The 19,174-nt window shown below is 39.6% G+C and overlaps 1 protein-coding gene, 1 long non-coding RNA gene and 1 pseudogene across 2 annotated transcripts in view; 1 reads left to right on the top strand and 2 right to left on the bottom strand.

Moving 5' to 3' along the window:
- The window catches only part of POTEH (POTE ankyrin domain family member H), a 31,606-nt gene extending 13,739 nt beyond the window's left edge, over positions 1 to 17,867 (bottom strand). The window contains exons 1-6 of the mRNA NM_001136213.1: positions 17,184 to 17,867; positions 12,408 to 12,522; positions 12,075 to 12,248; positions 9,125 to 9,231; positions 7,678 to 7,815; positions 5,137 to 5,207 (exon numbers count right to left, since the gene is read on the bottom strand). Of these exons, the coding sequence (NP_001129685.1) occupies positions 5,137 to 5,207; positions 7,678 to 7,815; positions 9,125 to 9,231; positions 12,075 to 12,248; positions 12,408 to 12,522; positions 17,184 to 17,815 (1,237 nt within the window). The 5' untranslated portion in view covers positions 17,816 to 17,867. The remainder of the gene's footprint in view (positions 1 to 5,136; positions 5,208 to 7,677; positions 7,816 to 9,124; positions 9,232 to 12,074; positions 12,249 to 12,407; positions 12,523 to 17,183) is intronic.
- Positions 4,539 to 7,507, top strand: POTEH-AS1 (POTEH antisense RNA 1). Its single transcript, NR_046571.1, has 2 exons — positions 4,539 to 4,933; positions 6,411 to 7,507. It is a non-coding gene; the product is annotated as a POTEH antisense RNA 1 (long non-coding RNA).
- Positions 6,328 to 6,434, bottom strand: RNU6-816P (RNA, U6 small nuclear 816, pseudogene; annotated as a pseudogene).
- Positions 17,868 to 19,174: the final 1,307 nt, after the last annotated feature.

Below are 19,174 nucleotides of genomic sequence, written 5' to 3'. Positions count from 1 at the left end.
TTGTCATTTATGAAATAATTCTCAAAAACTTCAAAAAACCACTTGGGGAGACATCAGATGTCACCAGATTGAAGACATACACACATGTTAAAAATTCCCTCATAAATTCATCCACCCAACATAAATGAACAAAACCACCATAAACACAGCTTTAAAATACAGTAGAAACAATAAAGTGACACAGTATATTGTTCTCCACTTCCTAATAGTACCTTATAAATGATTTCCAAAATCACTGCTGACACCTTTATTACTGTACAACATTTTCCTAATATCTAAAATGTTTCCCTCCATAATTCTGACAAATTTATTTTAATTTTTTTTTTTTTTTTTAATGAGCCAGGGTCTTGCTCTGTCACCAGGCTGGAATGAAGTGGTGCGATCAGCTCACTGCAACCTCTGACTCCCTGGTTCAAGTGATTCTCCTGCCTCAGTCTCCTGAGTAGCTGTGATTACAGGCAAGCACCACCACACCCAGCTAATTTTTGTATTTTTAGTAGAGATGGGGTTTCACCATTGGACAGGATGGTCTCAATCTCCTGACCTCATTATCCGCCCACCTCAGCCTCCAAAGTGCTGGGATTACAGGCATGAGCCACCACACCCAGACTTATTTTCATCTTTTGAAACAATTCTATGTGAAGTCTTCCTTGATTCTGCATGTCTTTCCCCAAATAAACAGGTATCTCCTTCCTTGAGGCTGCCTTAGTATTTTACTGATTTTTCTACGGCATCTTTACCCCCTAAGCTGTACATTATTTCTCCATATGTCTGTCCCCTCTGCTCCAAAACTGCAGGGGAGAGTCTTGCACATCATCTTTGTAAAAACAGTCTTTGTTTTACTCAGAAAATTTGTATTGAGTCCTGCTACATACATGCTAGGCATTAGGGTCTAAAAAGAATGAAAATAAAGCATCTCAGGGATGGCTTTTCTAGAACACATGCCCAAGCAGAGACTTAAATATTGAGGCTGGCCAGATTAAAAGGGGTAGAGGGCAGGAAAGGGTGACAGCATGCCCGGCAGCAGCAAGAGCGGGAGCGAGGCCTGAAAGAATGAAAGTATTTGCCTACAATAGAAGGATGAGTGAGTAGGGCACTACCAGCAGCTCAGTAATGCCAGAGAAAGGGCACACAGGGAAAAGGGCTAAAGATGGAGAGTGGGGCAGAAGTCAGATTATGAAAGCCTCATGTGTAATTTTAAGATGCTTGGACATTAATGTTCAAGAGTGGTCCCTGGTCCTATCTGCATTTAGATATAGATCACTTTAAATGCCAAAACCAATATTTGTAGTGAACCATTATTCATTAAGACAAGGTGACTGATAATTCATGTGGACACAACTGAAATGATACTATGTAGCGAATTCTCAATAATTCTCATGAACACTTGGAAAGTCAATTCTATAATAAAGTCATACAAATTATAATAAATCAGTAAAGATTTGGTTTGGGAAGATGCTTTGTAAAGTTATAGTGCATATGAATACAACTAAGAGTCGTGAATTCAGAGCTGTGACAATAAAGCAAAGAAATTACATTGTGTTTGAGTCAGCAATCTTTAGATTTCTATCCAGTCTTCCCATCCAGTCCATAAATTCTAAGTATAATCCTGGTACTCACTCTCAAGTTTACGTTAAATACTATCCCATACAAAAACCACTCTTTCTCTTGTTTTCATTATTTATATGTTGCCTTGTTTAAAGGAAGAACACAAAAATGCCCTGCTAAAGGGATTCTGTTTGGCTGCAGGCAGCAAGAGGGAAAAACACAGAGCATATTTTGCAGAAAATGATTTATTAGAAGTCAGAACTATGACACGAAGCCAAGCAGGGCACTCTAGGACTGAATTTGCTGTGCTGCCTTCATACGCTCCTTGCTCTTTCTTTTCTGGCAGCTGTGACTCACACAGCTCATGGAGAGTATCATTCCCTAAGAGGAACAACTCCGATATTCATCTTTATCTATTAAGTTCATCTGTCCCAATTCTGTGTTCTGTGGATGCTGACTTTCGGTCATGGATGGTGATACACATGGACATTTATCATCCACTTTCAGATTCTTGGAACTTTGACAAGTCTTATTAGTGAGAGTCAGACTACTAGGATGCAAGTTACAAATGCTGATTATCCAATTACCTACTCAAAATATCCTACACGAATATTCCATTAAACATGCATAGAAAAACATTAGTCATTCCTGCTGACCTGCTGTTCTTTGCTCTTCTGTATTCACCAGAAAATTTCCTACTCCTTCCTCACGTCTAGGTTAAATACTAGTGTACAACCTGGAAACCTGTACATCATCTGAGATTTCTCTCTGTCCCCCAAGCCTTTCTCATTCAATTATCACTAAATCATATTGACGATACCTCTCTTCTGCCTCCATTTTGTATTCCCACTGCCACTGGGAACATGAACATTTACAAAATGGCTTTTATGAAAAAAAAAACTGCCAACAATTAATGTTATTTCTTACGGGAAAAAAATTAAGCTAAACAAATGAAAAAAGCATAACACCAAAAAAAAAAAAAAAAAAAAAAGGCCAACATATTAAAACGAGTAATTGAGATTCCTAACTTTATTTATTTCACTATGGACAGGTGAAAACCTTGTAATACATTGATGCTACTCCAAGGATGTATGACAAGGAAACCATAGCTGACTACTGCAAAAGCTTCCTTTGTCTCCTGGTTTCTTTACATAGTAAAGAACCTTCCATCAATCCCAGCAAACTATAGGCTACAGACTAAATCCAATCTGCATTATGGCATTGTGAGTAAAGTTTTATAGGAGCTCAGTCATGCCTGTTTGCTTACATATAATTCTGGTGGCTTTCACACTACAACAGCAGACAACAGCAGGGTTAAGAAGACATGACAGAGACCACATAGTCTAAAATATTTCCCACCTAGTCCTTTACAGAAAAAGCTTTCTAACCCATTTTACACCATAACCAGAAGCCTTAATACTCAAATTTAATCTTGTGACTCCCCTGCTCAAATTTCTCCAATGAGCCCCTGCAGCACACATTGTTGGCTCCCTATCAATAGCCATTCCTTATTCTTTCTTGCAGAAGAAACACAAGTCTATTGGGATATTTATTATCCCAATCCCCCTCCTCAGCCTCAGAAAGAGAAATGTTTATTCTAAGCTAATCATGTATTTTCCTTCCCAGTGCCTGGTTTGGGAATGAGCAGGTACTCTGACCTAGCCAATGAAATATTACAGGAAGCCCTTGCATGCTTCTAAGTTTTCTCCCAGTTACGTGAATAAAACACTGCCAACAGCACAGCTGAAAGAGGGACAAGTGGGATCCTAGGATATCAATGAACAAACAAAACAACTCTGGTTCCTACTGTTTTAGCCACCGCTCATCTAGTATTTGCAGTCCAAAGCATTCTACCTGGTAAACTTCCCATGGCCCATGGGGTAAAACCTACTCATTTCTGTAGTATTAAAATGTCTATCATGAACTTGCCTTAGCTAAGTATTCACCTCATTCCCAACCTCTCGTATCTCACACTTTTGGTATTAGCAAAAGTGAATTGCTCAGAATCCCTGCAAAGTTCACTCAAGCATCTTGTCTTTTGCACTTGCTGCTCTTTCTGCCAAACAGGCAATCTCATTAGATGTTCCTTCTGGCAAACACACAACCTCGTTGCATGTTCCTTCTGCCAAACATTATTCTTCTGCTTCTTTACCTAGAAAAATTCTTCTCTCTCTGCATGCTTACCTTAAATCATACCTACTTTTTTCCAAAATTTTCATTCCTCATCACATATGTCTGGCACATAATCAATATATAATAAATCATAATTATAAGCTTCCAGTGGGCATCTAGCACACAGTAAGCACTGAATAAAGTAGTCAAATAATGAAAATGACAATGATAATAACAAGCTCCTGTCTCTACTTTTAATTGTTTGTGCTCTGTAGCATTAGAAAAAATGGCTAGTATCTAAAAGACATTTGATAGTTATCTGTTAAGTGGACAAGTGAAAATGGAAATGTTTTCTTTGTAAATTCTGTTGAAAAAGCACAGAAATGAAATGGAGACAGCTCTATTATGAGCACCTTAAAGATGAAAACTACATCTATTCCATTTTTGTCTCCTGCAACTTATAAAACCTAACTTACAGAAGCTCTTTGATAAATAGATGGCTAAATTAAAGGTGTCCTCATACAGTTTGGACTATACAGTGTATTAGGTGTCTACAATCAGGTAGCATACTAGCATTTTTGTGAGTGTGAAACATTTTTCTACTTTTATGATAATCTGCTGAGCCTAGAGTTGGGCAATTTGCATATTTATTATGACACTCTTTTGGCAAATGGTAGCAGAGCATCTTGTTCTAACAAAATTACTGTTATCATGACAATTAACCAGCAGGTAGAAGAACACATCTTGTTCCAAAAAAGTCAATATATCTCTTTCCAACTTCAAATGAGGAGGAATGAAGTCAGTAATAGTGAGACCTTATTGGGACAAGCATATGTAACATGACCTGTGCTTCAGTGTTCTTTTGTGATCAAAAATTCCTTACTTTTAGTTTTTTATCTATGGTAGAACCACCCAGAGCAGGGGTCCTCAACTCCCAGGCCACAGACTCATACCAGTCCACGGACTATTATGAACCACACCACACAGGAGGAGGTGAGCACTAGGCAAGCCAAGGAAGCTTCACCTGTACTTACAGCCACACCCCATGGCTCATATTACAGCCTGAACTCTGCCTCCACTCAGATCAGTGATAACATTAGAAACTCATTGGAGCACGAACCCTGTTGTGAACTGCCTATCCGAAGGATCTAGGTTGTGTGCTTCGTATGAGAATCTAATGCCAGATGATCTATCATTGTCTCACTTTGCCCCCAGATAAGACCATCTAGTTGCAGAAAAATAAGCTCAGAGCTTCCACTGATTCTACATTATGGTAAGTTGTATAATTATTTCATTATATATTACAATGTAATAATAATATAAAATAGCACAATAAATGTAACATGATTGAATAATTCTGAAACCATCCCCACCTTTCCCCAGCCCATGGAAAGATTGTCTTCCACAAAACCGGTCCCTGGTGCCAAAAAGGTTGGGGAAAACTAACCTAAAGTAATTCACTGTTATAAGTCTTACCTGGATTGCTGTTTTCAGAAGAGACTTTTAGTATCTGTTTTTCTTTGTAGTCAGAAAGTAACTGGCAAATTCTATGTATAAAATTGTAATAAACCAAATTACTATTTTAATACTGATATAAAAAATACTTACCAAATGTGAAATTCTTAACAGTATTTCAAACAATATCAGAATAACAGAACTTAACAGTATTATCCCATCCACTTATGAGTACATTCTGCAAACTTCTCTTTAAGCTTCTAATTAAAGAAGAAAAAAATGTAGGGTGAAATACTCATAAATCGAGGGCATGTGACCCAGTAAATTAGGTTGCATTAACCTGACATAATAGAAAGTGTCCCAACTCTGCATAAGTCCTAGCTCCATAATGAACAGCTATTTGTTCTTGGACAACTTGCTTCTCTTAGGCTCAATGTCTTCTTCAACAAAGTGAGGACTTTGCTGCCTTATTTCCCTAGGTTCCGATAAAAATTTAATGAGATCACATTTTTTAAATGCTGAGAGAAATAGTAAAGCAATGGAATAATCTCTTCCTAAACTTTATGACTAAAATTATCTTGGAATCACAAATAAAACCCAATGCGTATTTTGTTCATAGGTTCTAATATGCAAATGTTGTAGTTTTCAGAAAATGTTATTAAGTCCGAATTTTGCCTCTTAGTTGTCCTACTCTTTATGGCTTATATTTCAGGGCATCTCAACTATGTCATAGTTTGTAACTAAATGTATTCCTAAATATCTCATTAAAGTAGATAATGTGATTGTCCACTATTACGGAGTTGATCAATCACACCAAGGGCAGAAAAACCAATGGATGTTAAGACCTGGTTTGGACCAATGAGCCTTCTCTACAGACTCAAACTCTGAGCCCGCAGATGTTGGTTACAATGATGCTTTATATTGATGTTCAATTCCGGCTGACATGGGAGACCAAAAGTCTACTTTTATTTTTTTTAGTTTCCATGAAGAAGTAGCAAGCTGACATTCTGTCATTTTCGACATACATACTAACAATATATTTTGCACCAAACATGTTATTCAGCTCTAAGTCATCTCATAGACCATCTTACATGACTATTTTTGCAGCGCAAATCACAATTTCAATATTTGGGTGGCACCCATTTCGCTTTGATTCACACTGTTTCCTTAGAGCTAGTCAGCAAATAGTCAAATGACCTTCCAGTGACTGCACAAAATATGGAATGCTTCAAAGATCTGTGCTGCCTCCTTATGCAGAAGCCACGCTAACTTTCTCCGTATTGTTCTAATTTTAGGATATGTGCCGCCGAAGCAAGCACAAAGCCCTACTTTTACACATGCCTAGTGATGCTTCATGGACAAGGCTTGGCTCTGTTGAGTCCAACTAACCTACCTGAGATTCTGAGATTTCTCTTCAATGGCTTCCTGTGAGCTAGAGTTTGAAAATATCTTAAAATCTTGAGCTAGAGATGGAAGTAGCTTGGACGATTTTCATTATCATGTAAATCGGGTCACTCAAGGGGCCAACCACAGCTGGGAGCCACTGCTCAGGGGAAGGTTCATATGGGACTTTCTACTGCCCAAGGTTCTATACAGGATATAAAGGTGCCTCACAGTATAGATCTGGTAGCAAAGAAGAAGAAACAAACACTGATCTCTTTCTGCCACCCCTCTGACCCTTTGGAACTCCTCTGACCCTTTAGAACAAGCCTACCTAATATCTGCTAGAGAAAAGACCAACAACGGCCTCAAAGGATCTCTTACCATGAAGGTCTCAGCTAATTCTTGGCTAAGATGTGGGTTCCACATTAGGTTCTGAATATGGGGGGAAGGGTCAATTTGCTCATTTTGTGTGTGGATAAAGTCAGGATGCCCAGGGGCCAGAGCAGGGGGCTGCTGCTTTGGGAACAATGGCTGAGCATATAACCATAGGTATGGGAACAAAAAACATCAAAGTCACTGTATCAATTGCCATGAAGACTTGAGGGACCTGAATCTACCGATTCATCTTAAGGCAGCAGGACCAGTCTGAGTGGCAACAATGCAGCAGCAGAATCAATGGAAACAACAGAATGATTGCAATGTCCTTTTTTTTCTCCTCCTTCTGACTTGATAAAAGGGACCGTCTTCCTTGGATTTAGTGAACCCCTTTGGTTCCTGAAAAATTCAAGGAGTATCTAGGACATAGTCCCCAGAAGACAGTACAAGACTTTCTGATAAACTGGACATTTCAAGACCCAAATAACTAATCAGAAAAATCAAAGATGTGATACTATTTTTTATCCCATGCATAGGTGCTACACTTGGATCAAATGAACAATGTTGGGATCTCTATGGATAAAGGTCTTAAAAGTCCTGAGATAAAGAATCCTGCACCCACTGGTACTTCTAACTTGTCTTGTTTTTTGTCTGATTTCTGGCTGATGCAGGGGACTAGCTCACTGCCACACGAAAATTACCTGAACTGAACTATGACATCTCACCTGATATGTAAGATGTAACTGTTATAATTATTTTAAACCTCAATTTAGCATTAACTAGCCTTTTAATGTAAACACTTACACATTATGACGACTAGAAACAGCATACTCTCTGGCCGTCTGTCCAGATAGATCTTGAGAAGATACATCAATGTTTTGCTCAAGTAGAAGGCTGACTATACTTGCCGATCCACAACATACAGCAAGTATGAGAGCAGTTCTAAAATGACAGAGATAGGAACAGTAATAAAGTTATTTTAAAAGCTAATTTGATATACTTTACCAATTTAACATCTTGCCTGTCCGTGCAGAATCAAACATTTACATGCACTAAAAGACATAAGCATCTTCAGTGCTCAAGTGTTCATCTTTGTAAAATACCACCAAGGTTGAAAGGAAGGGACAAAAAAAAAAAAACCCTCTTATCTCAGTGGGGTATTGCATAGCAGAAGCTACTAATTTAAAGTCCTTTGATGGACAAGAAACAATATTAGGGCCACTTATCTGAAATGAACAAAGATTTAAGTGAAGATTTCATCACAGCTTCCCTAGACTGATATGCTGTAATAGAAAATCAGCTAGGGGGTAAAATAACTAAGAGCTCTCTGCATGCTGAAAGCAAGTAAGATTAATAATAATGGTAAGAATAGTAGTCACAGGAGTTTCAGTTAATGATGCCAATAAGCATGTGCTAGGCACTGAATTAAATGCCACATATATCTTTCTTATGCACAGCAAACTTTGAAGGATATATTCTCCTACTTTTCATATATGACAACATATTTGGTGGTAAATAACGTTCCCAAGGTCACACACCTAGCAAGTAAGAAAGTTAGGAATTAAAACCAGTATTGTGTGAATCTAAAGCCTAACTTTTTTCTCTTTATCACCCACCTACGGCTTGTCTTCATTAAAGGAAAAGTGTATCCACTTAAAACTATCTTCACTCCCTCTCTCCATACCAATTAAAAATAAAAACATCAAAATACACTGGAAATAAAAAAGGAAAAAAGCTGTTGAACCCACAGTACGTGGGAACAGCAATTAATTGTCATGCAGGGATAAGCTAACATTAATATTCTTCAAAGAAAGCAACTTAAGGCAGAATCATTGAAAAGACAAAAGGATTTTCAACCCCTATTTATGGTTAATACAGCGTATTTAGTGGAAAAGCATGTAAGACACAGGTTAAAAACTATTAGAAAGGGTTAAGAAGTTCAATACTGAGTCATAAAGTAAACTAAAATTAAAGTTCAAACTTCATAAAATATGAAATCCCTTTAGCTAACATAAGATCATGTAACCAAAAACATTACATAGCAAATAACATCAGTCAATATAATAAAAGATGAATCCTACTAAAACTTTTATGTTGCCCAGTCCAAATAATTGTTTTTCTACCGAACTGATTTGTGTTCATACTGATCACTATATCCCAATAAGTATACATTAATCTTATTAATTTAATATTTATGACTTGAGTGACTGCTATCCATCTAGAACACACAGATTAAAAGAAAGAACTATACCTTCCATATCTATCCAGTGCATTTAAATTTGCTTTTTTCTTGATTAAAAATTTCACCACTTGCTGTTTTTGCTCATGTACACCAAGTAACAGTGGTGTGAGGCCATGCTGTAAAACAATATAAAGCAAAAACGTATGTAATTCAAAAAAGTACATATTCCTCAACCGAAGTGGAAACTTTATATAAGATCTTATGGACTTACATGCATAGAAAGTAAATAAAATGTAGTCGCTTCCTTCTCACTCTTCTGTGCTTTCCCACACGCTGCTCCTTCCCTTGGAAACACCCCTTCTCTGCCTCACCACAGTAACTCTACTCATCTCAAAAACTCACTTTAAACATTTACTGCTTCCAAGGCTCTTTGCTTCTAACCCAGCATTTGATATGGTATTATTGGATGGTAATATTTTTCCCATCTAAACAAAGAGCTCCTTGAGGGCAGGGGCTGTATCTTTTGTTTCTATATCCTCAACCCTAAGATAAATTGCGTATAAAGCAAGAATTTGCATGTAAAATATTTCTTTAGTTTCATGTTTTACTGAAAGTTCAACCTCCAACATGCAACAAAAATTGCTATTAAAACTCACACTGCCCATCTGAAAAAATTTTCCAACATTTATTTATTTAAAATCTATTTATATTTAACTTTCCCAGATTGTTACTAAATAATCAGTTCATAGGACTACTGAAACTAAATTAACAGAATTCCTATCTGCATTCTTAATAACTCCATGGTTTTAAGTGTGTAAAACTGCCATGCTGATTATGCCAAAGCTCTACATACTTAAAGAGACACACTGGACAGTCCACAATACAGCTTCAATTGATAAAAAACAGTTTAGAATTTGCTTAATTCCAATTGAGAAAACTCTGCTCTTAATGACTTACTGACCTAAGCACTTGAATGACTGAACAAAGAGACACAAAATCCTGAGAGGGCCATCCTCTACTTATTGAAAGACTGCTCACAGCAAACTACTAAAGACCTTCTGAATGGCAGTGAATAACTGATGGTAGAAAGGAAAATATATTATTCTGTAACCTGATATGTAACCTGATAGATACTACCAATAATATTCATTTTAATGTCTCAACCACAGAGATAAAAGTCAGACTAGGCCAGGAATGGTGGCTCACACCTGTAATCCTAGCACTTTGGGAGGCTGAGGGGGATGAATTGCTTGAGCCCAGGAGTTCAAGACCAGCCTGAGAAACATGGCAAAAACCAAATCTCTACTAAAAAAAAATAAAAATAAAAATAAAAATAAAAAGAAAGAAAGAAAAAAACAACTGAGGTTGAGGTTGGAGGACCATCTGAGCTTCGGGAGGTCGAGGTTGCAGTGAGCTGTGATCACACCACTGCACTCCAGCCTGGGAAACAGAGTGAGACTCAATCTAAAAAAAAAAAAAAAAGTCAGATTAATGTTATTGGAAAGGAAAGATTTAAAGAAATCAGCACATATCCAACTCCAACTCTTCTAGAGATACCTTAAGTTTCTGAGATATAAGAATTTATATATTACATTTATGTATTCAGTGGTTCTTAAGCAGGAGTGTATCCAGATTTTGAGAAAATTGTTGCTGTTGTTATTGTTGCTGTCGTTTTTAGAGACAGGGGCTCATTATGTTGACAAGGCTAGACTCGAACTCCTGAGCTCAAGCAATCCTCCCACCTCAGCCTCCCTAACAGTTGGGACTACAGCCATGCACCAACATGCCTGGCTTCAAGGAAACATTTTTAAATATACATATCCAAGCTTTATTAGACTTACTGTATCAAAATCTTCAGGAATAAGCCTAGACTTGTTGATTATTTAAAAATTTTCCTCAGGTTACTGGGATGCACAATTCTAGCTGAAAGCTAGTACAATAGACAATTACTTCAGTCTCATTTCTCACCACCCAGATAACCAATTCCCTTTCTTATTTGAAGATTTGGCCAAAAAGAGTAAAGAGTAGGAGAGAGACCCATTTGCTGAAAACACCACATAATTTTTCCCGGTAACACAACAGTATCTAGTCAACTCAAAATCCAACTTGATCTTGTTACTCATTTATCTTCCACCTTCCCATCCAGACACTCTAGATTTGAAAGCAGAGCTGAGGCTCTAATTGGCCACTTCTACCAGAAGAGGATACTAAGTCAGTTAATTACTTGATATTCCCCCTGCTCAAGGGTTTCCCCTTACATTACCCACCTATTCACTGCCAATCTGGTTCCTCAGAGGCCTCCTAAAATTCATCTCTAGGCAGTTTACAACCCACTAACTCCCTCTCCCAAACTGAAAACTGTCATTCTCTAAAATCAAAGAGAACTTTGTCTCACCATACAAAGGAAATAAATAAATGAACAACAACAACAACACCACACACACACAACCTCTTCATGGTCTCTTCCCTCTATTGCCTAATTTCCAAATTGGCCCTGATATTTCTGACTGCTCTCTTTTTCCCTTTCCACTTCTGCCTCATGAGCAATCAGAAATATCTTAAGCCTTGCCACTGAGAGGTGCATCACCTCGTATCTATTACTGTTTTTTAGGAACTTGCCAAAGAAGCAGGATCTCTATTCACTGAGACATGTTTAAGTTTTCTTGGAGTTTTCATGTAAAACCTATTTCAGGGCAAATTTTGCCATTTTACATTCATTAGGGGAAAAGAATCCTAGGAGGGAAAAACTGAAAAATAGTAAGTATTACCTTTTACAAATTCAGTGTTTTCAAAAAAAAGTATTTACCGCAAGTGCATTAAAAAAAAAAAAACTGTACCCTCTAATGCTTCTTTGAAAGTAACAATATTTAAAATAAAATCTTAGATAATTAGGTCATTTCAAAATATTTTCATTCAGGTTATGCTTGAGCTTCCAAATATGGAAAACTGGCCCTTACACAGGTCAATGTTAACACGAATGCATTTCAGTATTTTGAAGATAAAATTGGTAGATCTATACCTTGTTTTTTGATTCGATATCAGCACCGTATAAGAGCAGTGCTTTGGCCATTAATTTATCTTCATTGTAGATAGCATAGTGTAGAGCGGTATTTCCATACTCATCTGGAATATTCGGATCAGTGCCATGTTCCAGCAACATTAACGCACATTCATCTTCCTGGCATTGTACGGCCTGTCAGTATTACACCATAAACAAATTACAAATCCTAGGATTTCAAAATAACATTCCACAGCTTTCACCAACTAGTTATATTTAAAGGAGAAAACTCATTTTTATGCTATGTATTGAAATCAAACCCACTTCACGCTGACATAGTTGGCTACTGCATACCTTTGTCAGAGCTGTCCTCTTTTTGTTGTCAAGGATATTAAGTTGACATCGTCTGTCCAGCAGGAGTTTTACTACTTCTGAATTTCCATTGGCAGAGGCCAGATGTAGAGCAGTCCTATGAGGGTGAGAAGACTTTTTAGGAAATTGTAGTGCACTAGCTACAGCCATATCAATGATACACATAATCGCAAACACTGAATAGCCTGCTATTACTGTGCCTTCAAAACAAACATTTAACTTTCCCATGAAAAAAGCACACGATTTATTATCTCTCATTACTCGCTGTATTAATGAAAGAGCAGCCTATATGAATACAAAGAGCATAGCCCTTGGATGACATTCAACTTGGGCTGGAATCCTACTTGAAGCTCTGTCACTTTCTGGCTGTTGCTTAGCCTTTTGGGGTCTCAGTTTCCTCATCAATAAAATAGGAATGAAAATAGTAGCTTTCTCACAGGAAACCACTGTAATGCTTAAATGAGACTCGGCACAAAAGATACAGAATAGTTCCTAACACAAATAACAGCTCAATAATTGTTAGATATTATGATTTTTACTAATACCACTAAAGACAACATTTGAATTAAGTGAGATGATACAATTATACCTACACTTTCAGGTGTGTTTTAAATATTACAGCTAACATTGTATTTTAGTGATTCTGAGATGATCATTGTCTCCATGTTGTCTCCACTGAAATACCACTTACAATTCATGATTTACTATAATTGGCGGCATTTAAATAATTCTCTTATTGAGACATAAAATAATGGGGCATCATACAATCTCTGGTGCCTTACATTAAGTAGAATATGTTATAATGTAACAGGTCTGGGGCGGTTCCAGTCAGATGACCAGCATTTAAATTTTAGTTCTTAAAAGTACTATGGAATAAGAGAGCTGAAGTGAAAACAAAAACAAATTTCTAAAATAAACCAATTCTTACTTTGGTTTTCAATAAACTTTAAGCCAAACAAAACTTGGAATTGAAATGAATAGCATGGGCTCATTTTTTTCAATACTTAGATTTATACAATGTATGTACATCAGATATTTCCAATCATTCATATTAGGATTTAAGACTGTTATAAATTTTCTCTTTTTAAAATGGATTTATGAAACTATTTGTGGAGCTTTTTTCAACTTTTACATTCAGGGGTACATGTGCGGGATGTGCAGGTTTGTTACATAGGTAAACGTGCACCAATGGGGTTGGTTGTACAGATTATTTCATTACCCAGGTGTTAAGCCCAGTACCCGTTCATTCTATTTCCTGCTTCTTTCCCTCCTCCCACCCTCCACCCTCTGATAGGCCCCAGTGTGTGTTGCTTCCCTCTAGGTATCTGTGTGTTGACATCATTTAGCTCCCACCTATAAGTGAGAACATACAGTATTTGGTTTTCTCTTCCTATGTTAGTTTGCTAAGGATAATGGCTTTCAACACCATCCATGTTCCTGCAAAGGACAGGCTCTCGTTCCTTCTTTTATGGCTGCATAGTATTCCATGCTGTTTATGTACCACATTTTAGTTCTTAAAACAACTAAAACAGTCTTTATCCAAGACTTATACATTTTCAAAAGGGCAGTTAAGGGTTGTCTTTTACTATTTTCTACCTTCAGAAATGCTTCTGTTTGAAAGGAGGGAGGAGAAGCTTCAATTGAGATTAAGTCCTAATGCCCCAATTTTAAATCTCTCAGCTTGCTCAAGCCCAGCAGGCAAACATAAATGTTTTCAAAGATGGAAGGATCCTGAGAGATAGTAGAATATGCCTGCCCCATAATAGGTGTCTGGCTTATGTCTGATGACTAAACGGATTGAAAACAATGGATGAACACAGCTTGGGAGTTCAATATTTTTAAAGAAAACTCCTGTAGAGTAGGGCAATACATTTGCAATAGTAATATCATTTATATTTGCTATTTTAATTTTCATAAATATATAACTCAACTAAAATGATTAATTCATACTTTTTACATGTTAATCTATATATAATGAAAAGGTAATTATGTAATAAAATCTATATACAATAAAATCTACAGGAACAGGTAAACACAATCCCTCTACTTCTGAAGAGGGTAAAAGTTCACAGTAGATAGCCAACCACAGAAATAAAAATAAATAATAGAATGTGAGAAATTATTTGCATCTATGCAAGAAGCATATTCCTTCTCTTCCCAAGGATTATGTCATTACTAATGAACCTAAACTAAAAGTTCAGATGTTCATTGCAGAAATCACAGATAAAAGGAAAAACTTCATTTACAAATCCCCAGAAACAAGTTTGATTATATTTTCTACATATTTTCAGCTAACACAAGAGCAGATTCTGTTCGTGTATATGTGTAACAAACTGATTTTTTTCTCACTTGCTATAGCAAGGTACATCTTTGCATGTCGACATATCTCTATGTACTGACACCCTCAATAGTTACATATTATTCCGTCCTATGGATGCACTGAAATTTGTTCATGAAATCTTTATATGGGCTTTTCTAAATACACTGCTATTTTAAGCAATACTAAGAAAAACAGACATCTATTTGGTGAAGATATTTCAGTATAATGGAACTGATGAGTAAAAAGCATAACATTTTTAAAATGTGGTTCTTACCACTAAAGTGCCTGTTTGAAAAGCTGCAGCAACTTAAACTTTAAACAACTATATAAGTACCACTGTTATTCATCCTCATTTGTGGATAGAAAACAGTATTTCATGCTTTTTTTTTTTTTTAGATGGGGTCTCACTCTGTCACCCATGCCGGAATGTAGTGGCACGATCTCGGCTCACTGCAACCTCCACCTCCCTGGTTCAAGCAATTCTCTTGCTTCAGCCTCCTGAGTAGCTGGGATTACAGGTGCATGCTACCATGCGCAGCTAATTCTTTGTATTTTCAGTAGAGATAGGATTTCACCACACTGGCCAGGCTGGTCTCAAACTCCTGACTTCATGATCCACCTGCCTCAGCCTCCTAAAGTGCTGGGGTAACAGGCGTAAGCCACTGCACCTGGCCTTTCATTCCTCCTCTAACTTAAATAGAAAACAGTATTTCATTCCTCTTCTAACTTAAATTCCTTCTTCTACCAGGAATGCTATCTTTTCCTATGCACATAGGTCACTGGTAGATATGCAAAAAAGTACTTTGCCCAATTTTAAAATGTGCTTATTTTATTGCATATATAGGCCAGGCATGGTGGCTCACGCCTGTAACCACAGCACTTTGGGAGGCCAAGGTGGGTGGATCACGAGGACAGGAGTTCAAGACCAGCCTGGCCAAGATGGTGAAACCCCATCTCTACTAAAAATACAAAACAATTAGCCAGGTGTGGTGGCAGGCGCCTGTAATCCCAGCTACTCAGTAGGCTGAAGCAGAGAATTGCTTGAACCTATGAGGCAGAGGTTGCAGTGAGCTGAGATCGCACCACTGCACTCCAGCCTGGGCAACAGAGTGAGACTCCATCAAAAAAAAAAAGAAATTTATATATATATATATATATATATGTATCTGCATATGTAAATAGGCACTTGTGTTTTCTTCTGGTATGTTTCTCTTTTTGTATATTTAAAATTTTTAATCTATACTCTGATTTTTGTGATATAAACATCTAGCTAGTTTTCTCCAAAAATGAATTATGAACAATCCATCTTTTTTAAATAATACAAAACATCACCATTATCAAGCGCTAAATTCCTACATATATTTCGGTATTTCTAAATTTCCTGTTCTGTTTTATTCATTGATGTCTTTTCAGCTGTTAGTAAACAATTTGTGGAAATAAATAACATGCACATTTTGACATCTGGAAAAGCAAGCCTTTGTCCATTCTGCTACAAAAAAATTAACTTAGCACAATAATAAAAGACAGCATGTGTAATTTAAAAACTCTAAAACTGCTATTTTTATTTGGCTTAAGTAAAAGTGATAAATAGAAAAAGCTCACTTTTTTTTTTTTTTTTTTTTGAGACGGAGTCTTGCTCTGTCTCCCAGGCTCTACTACAGTGGCGTGATCTCGGCTCACTGCAAGCTCCGCCTCCCAGGTTCACGCCATTCTCCTGCCTCAGCCTCCTGAGTAGCTGGGACTACAGGTGCCTGCCACCGCGTCCAGCTAATTTTTTTTATATTTTTTAGTAGAGACGGGGTTTCACCGTGTTAGCAAGGATGGTCTCGATCTCCTGACCCCATGATCTGCCCTCCTCAGCCTCCCAAAGTGCTGGGATTACAGGTGTGAGCCACCACGCCCAGCCAAAAAGCTCACATCTTCAGAAAATTCAATCTTCCTATTCAAGCACAAGAACCATCTTCCCATTTCAGTTTCCTTCTAAGATTACTCAGTAAAGAACATATTTACATAGTGTACATTGATATAAAATCCATACTGGATTTTATTTGAAGAATATTTAGCCCTGAAGTTGATGTGTTATGGGGCTTCATTCTTAGTTCTCAATATACACTTTTTTAATGTATAGAACATTGTTTTAAAATCTGTACATTAAAAATAATCTGCTGCATCGACAACGTTGCGAGTTAAATCACTTCAAAACAGTCTATTCGTGTTCTAGGAAGGAAATTATGATTTGATTGGAAATCAGCTAAAGTTTTGTTTTTGTGTTGCTGCTCATAAAGGGGCCTGTGCCCTGAACTCTCTGAGGTTTCCACATCCAGGGTGGTGTGAGGCCTGTGGAGGCAAGAAAACCAGGCTCCCCTCCTCCCCGGCCAGGAGGGTATGTCCCCATCATCCTCCCACATCCCACCTCCTCCCAGCCCAGGCCTGGTTACCTCTTTTGCTTGTCCTTCTTGTTCATGTCAGTGTCCTTGAGCATGACGATGAGATCCTTTCTGGGGACTTTACCCCACCAGGCAGCTCTGTGGAGCTTGTCCAGATCTTCTCGACGGACGTGGTACCTCGGCTCCATGAAAGCGCTGTCGTCGTAGTCTCCCCAAGGGCCCACTTTGTTCTTGCCGCTCCCCCTGCAGCAGGGGAAGCAGTGGCAGCACCACTTGCCCATCTTGCTCCTGAGTGTCTTCATAGCAGAGTCGTCGTGGTCTCCAGAAGTGCCCACGTTGCTCTTGCCGCTCCCCCTGCAGCAGGGGAAGCAGTGGCAGCACCACTTGCCCATCTTGCTCCTGAGTGTCTTCATAGCAGAATCGTCGTGGTCTCCAGAAGTGCCCACGTTGCTCTTGCCGCTCCCCCTGCACCAGGGGAAGCAGTGGCAGCACCACTTGCCCATCTTGCTCCTGAGTGTCTTCATAGCAGAATCGTCGTGGTCTCCAGAAGTGCCCACGTTGCTCTTGCCGCTCCCCCTGCACCAGGCGAAGCAGTGGCGGCACCACTTGCCCATCTTGCTTCTGAGACCAAATGGCTTCTTCACAGAGGAGGCAGCCGGCATTGAACCAGCCTCAGCCACCATCTGCTTTTAACAGCCAGGGAAGGCCGGTAGTAGCCAGCAGATCGCGTCTACCAACCAGTTTCACCAACTGGCAGATAACTCCGGGTTTCTAATCTGTTTGAAGAGAAAAGTCCCGACCAAAACCTGCCAACCCCAGCAGGGGAGCCCAGCCCACCCCACCCAGGGAAAACCCACACCCACCTGGGGAAAGCCCACACCCACGCTGGGCGACCCCACGCCCACCCCAGGAAGGGCCAACCCCACCCCCCAAGAAAACACCCGGCCCACCCAAGGGAATGCCAAACCCAGAAGAGAAAAGGTCAAGTCCAGCAAAGTAACGTGACAGAAAAAACGTCAGTCCAAGGAAGAAATGTCAATCCAAGCGACAAATGCCAAGCCAAGCAAAGAACGCAAAGCCAAGCCAAGCGCTACAGGCCAGCCAAGCCGTTACGCACGTGCAGTGTGCGCATGCCGACTGTTACAGACCAGCCAAGCCGTTAACGCGCGTGCAGCATGCGCGTGCAAGCCATTACAGGCCAGCCAAGCCATTACGCACGTGCGGCATGCGCGTGCAAGCAGTTACAGGCCAGCCAAACCGTTATACGCGTCCGGCGTGCGCGCACGGCATGCACGTGCAAGCCCTTACAAGCCAGCCAAGCCACTGCCACGCGTGTGGCGTGCGCGCGCGGCATGCACGTGCAAGCCGTTACAAGCCAGCCAAGCCACTGCCGCGCGTGCGGCGTGCGCGTGCGGCGTGCGCGTGCGGCGTGCGCGTGCGGCGTGCGCGTGCGGCGTGCGCGTGCGGCGTGCGCGTGCGGCGTGCGCGTGCGGCGTGCGCATCTCTGGTGGTGTCAGTACACGTGGCACAGACAGTTGCGGATGCGTGCAACCTGCATAAGTCTTGGAACCACAAATGTCACTGACAGCCTGGTGTTCCCGGCAAACTTCCTGGGAGTCAGCCGAGCTTTCAGGCCATTGAGAAGCCTCTGGTGAAAGAAAAAGCTTCTTGAAGCAGGACTGGGGCTAAGTGGCTGGAACTTGAGGATGCTGACAGCCTCCTCTGAAGAAAGCCCCCAGGACACTCCTGGTGGTGCTGTTGTGCATGGCCGCTGCTGCAGCTCAGAGCACCGGCTGGCGGAGCTGGCTGCAAATGGCCTCAAAATCACGGAGCATGTTCTCACTCACAGGTGGGAATGGAACGAGAACACACGGACACAGGAAGGGGAACATCACACACCGGGGACTGTTGTGTGGGGGGAGGGGGGAGGGATAGCATTAGGAGATATACCTAATGCTAAATGACGAGTTAATGGGTGCAGCACACCAACATGGCACATGTATACATATGTAACAAACCTGCACGTTATGCACATGTACCCT

The sequence above is a fragment of the Homo sapiens genome, chromosome 22 (genome assembly GCF_000001405.40).
Source record: "Homo sapiens chromosome 22, GRCh38.p14 Primary Assembly".
NCBI classification, from domain to species: domain Eukaryota; kingdom Metazoa; phylum Chordata; class Mammalia; order Primates; family Hominidae; genus Homo; species Homo sapiens.
Note: the sequence above shows the minus strand (reverse complement) of the source record. Positions and strands in the feature narration are given on the sequence as shown.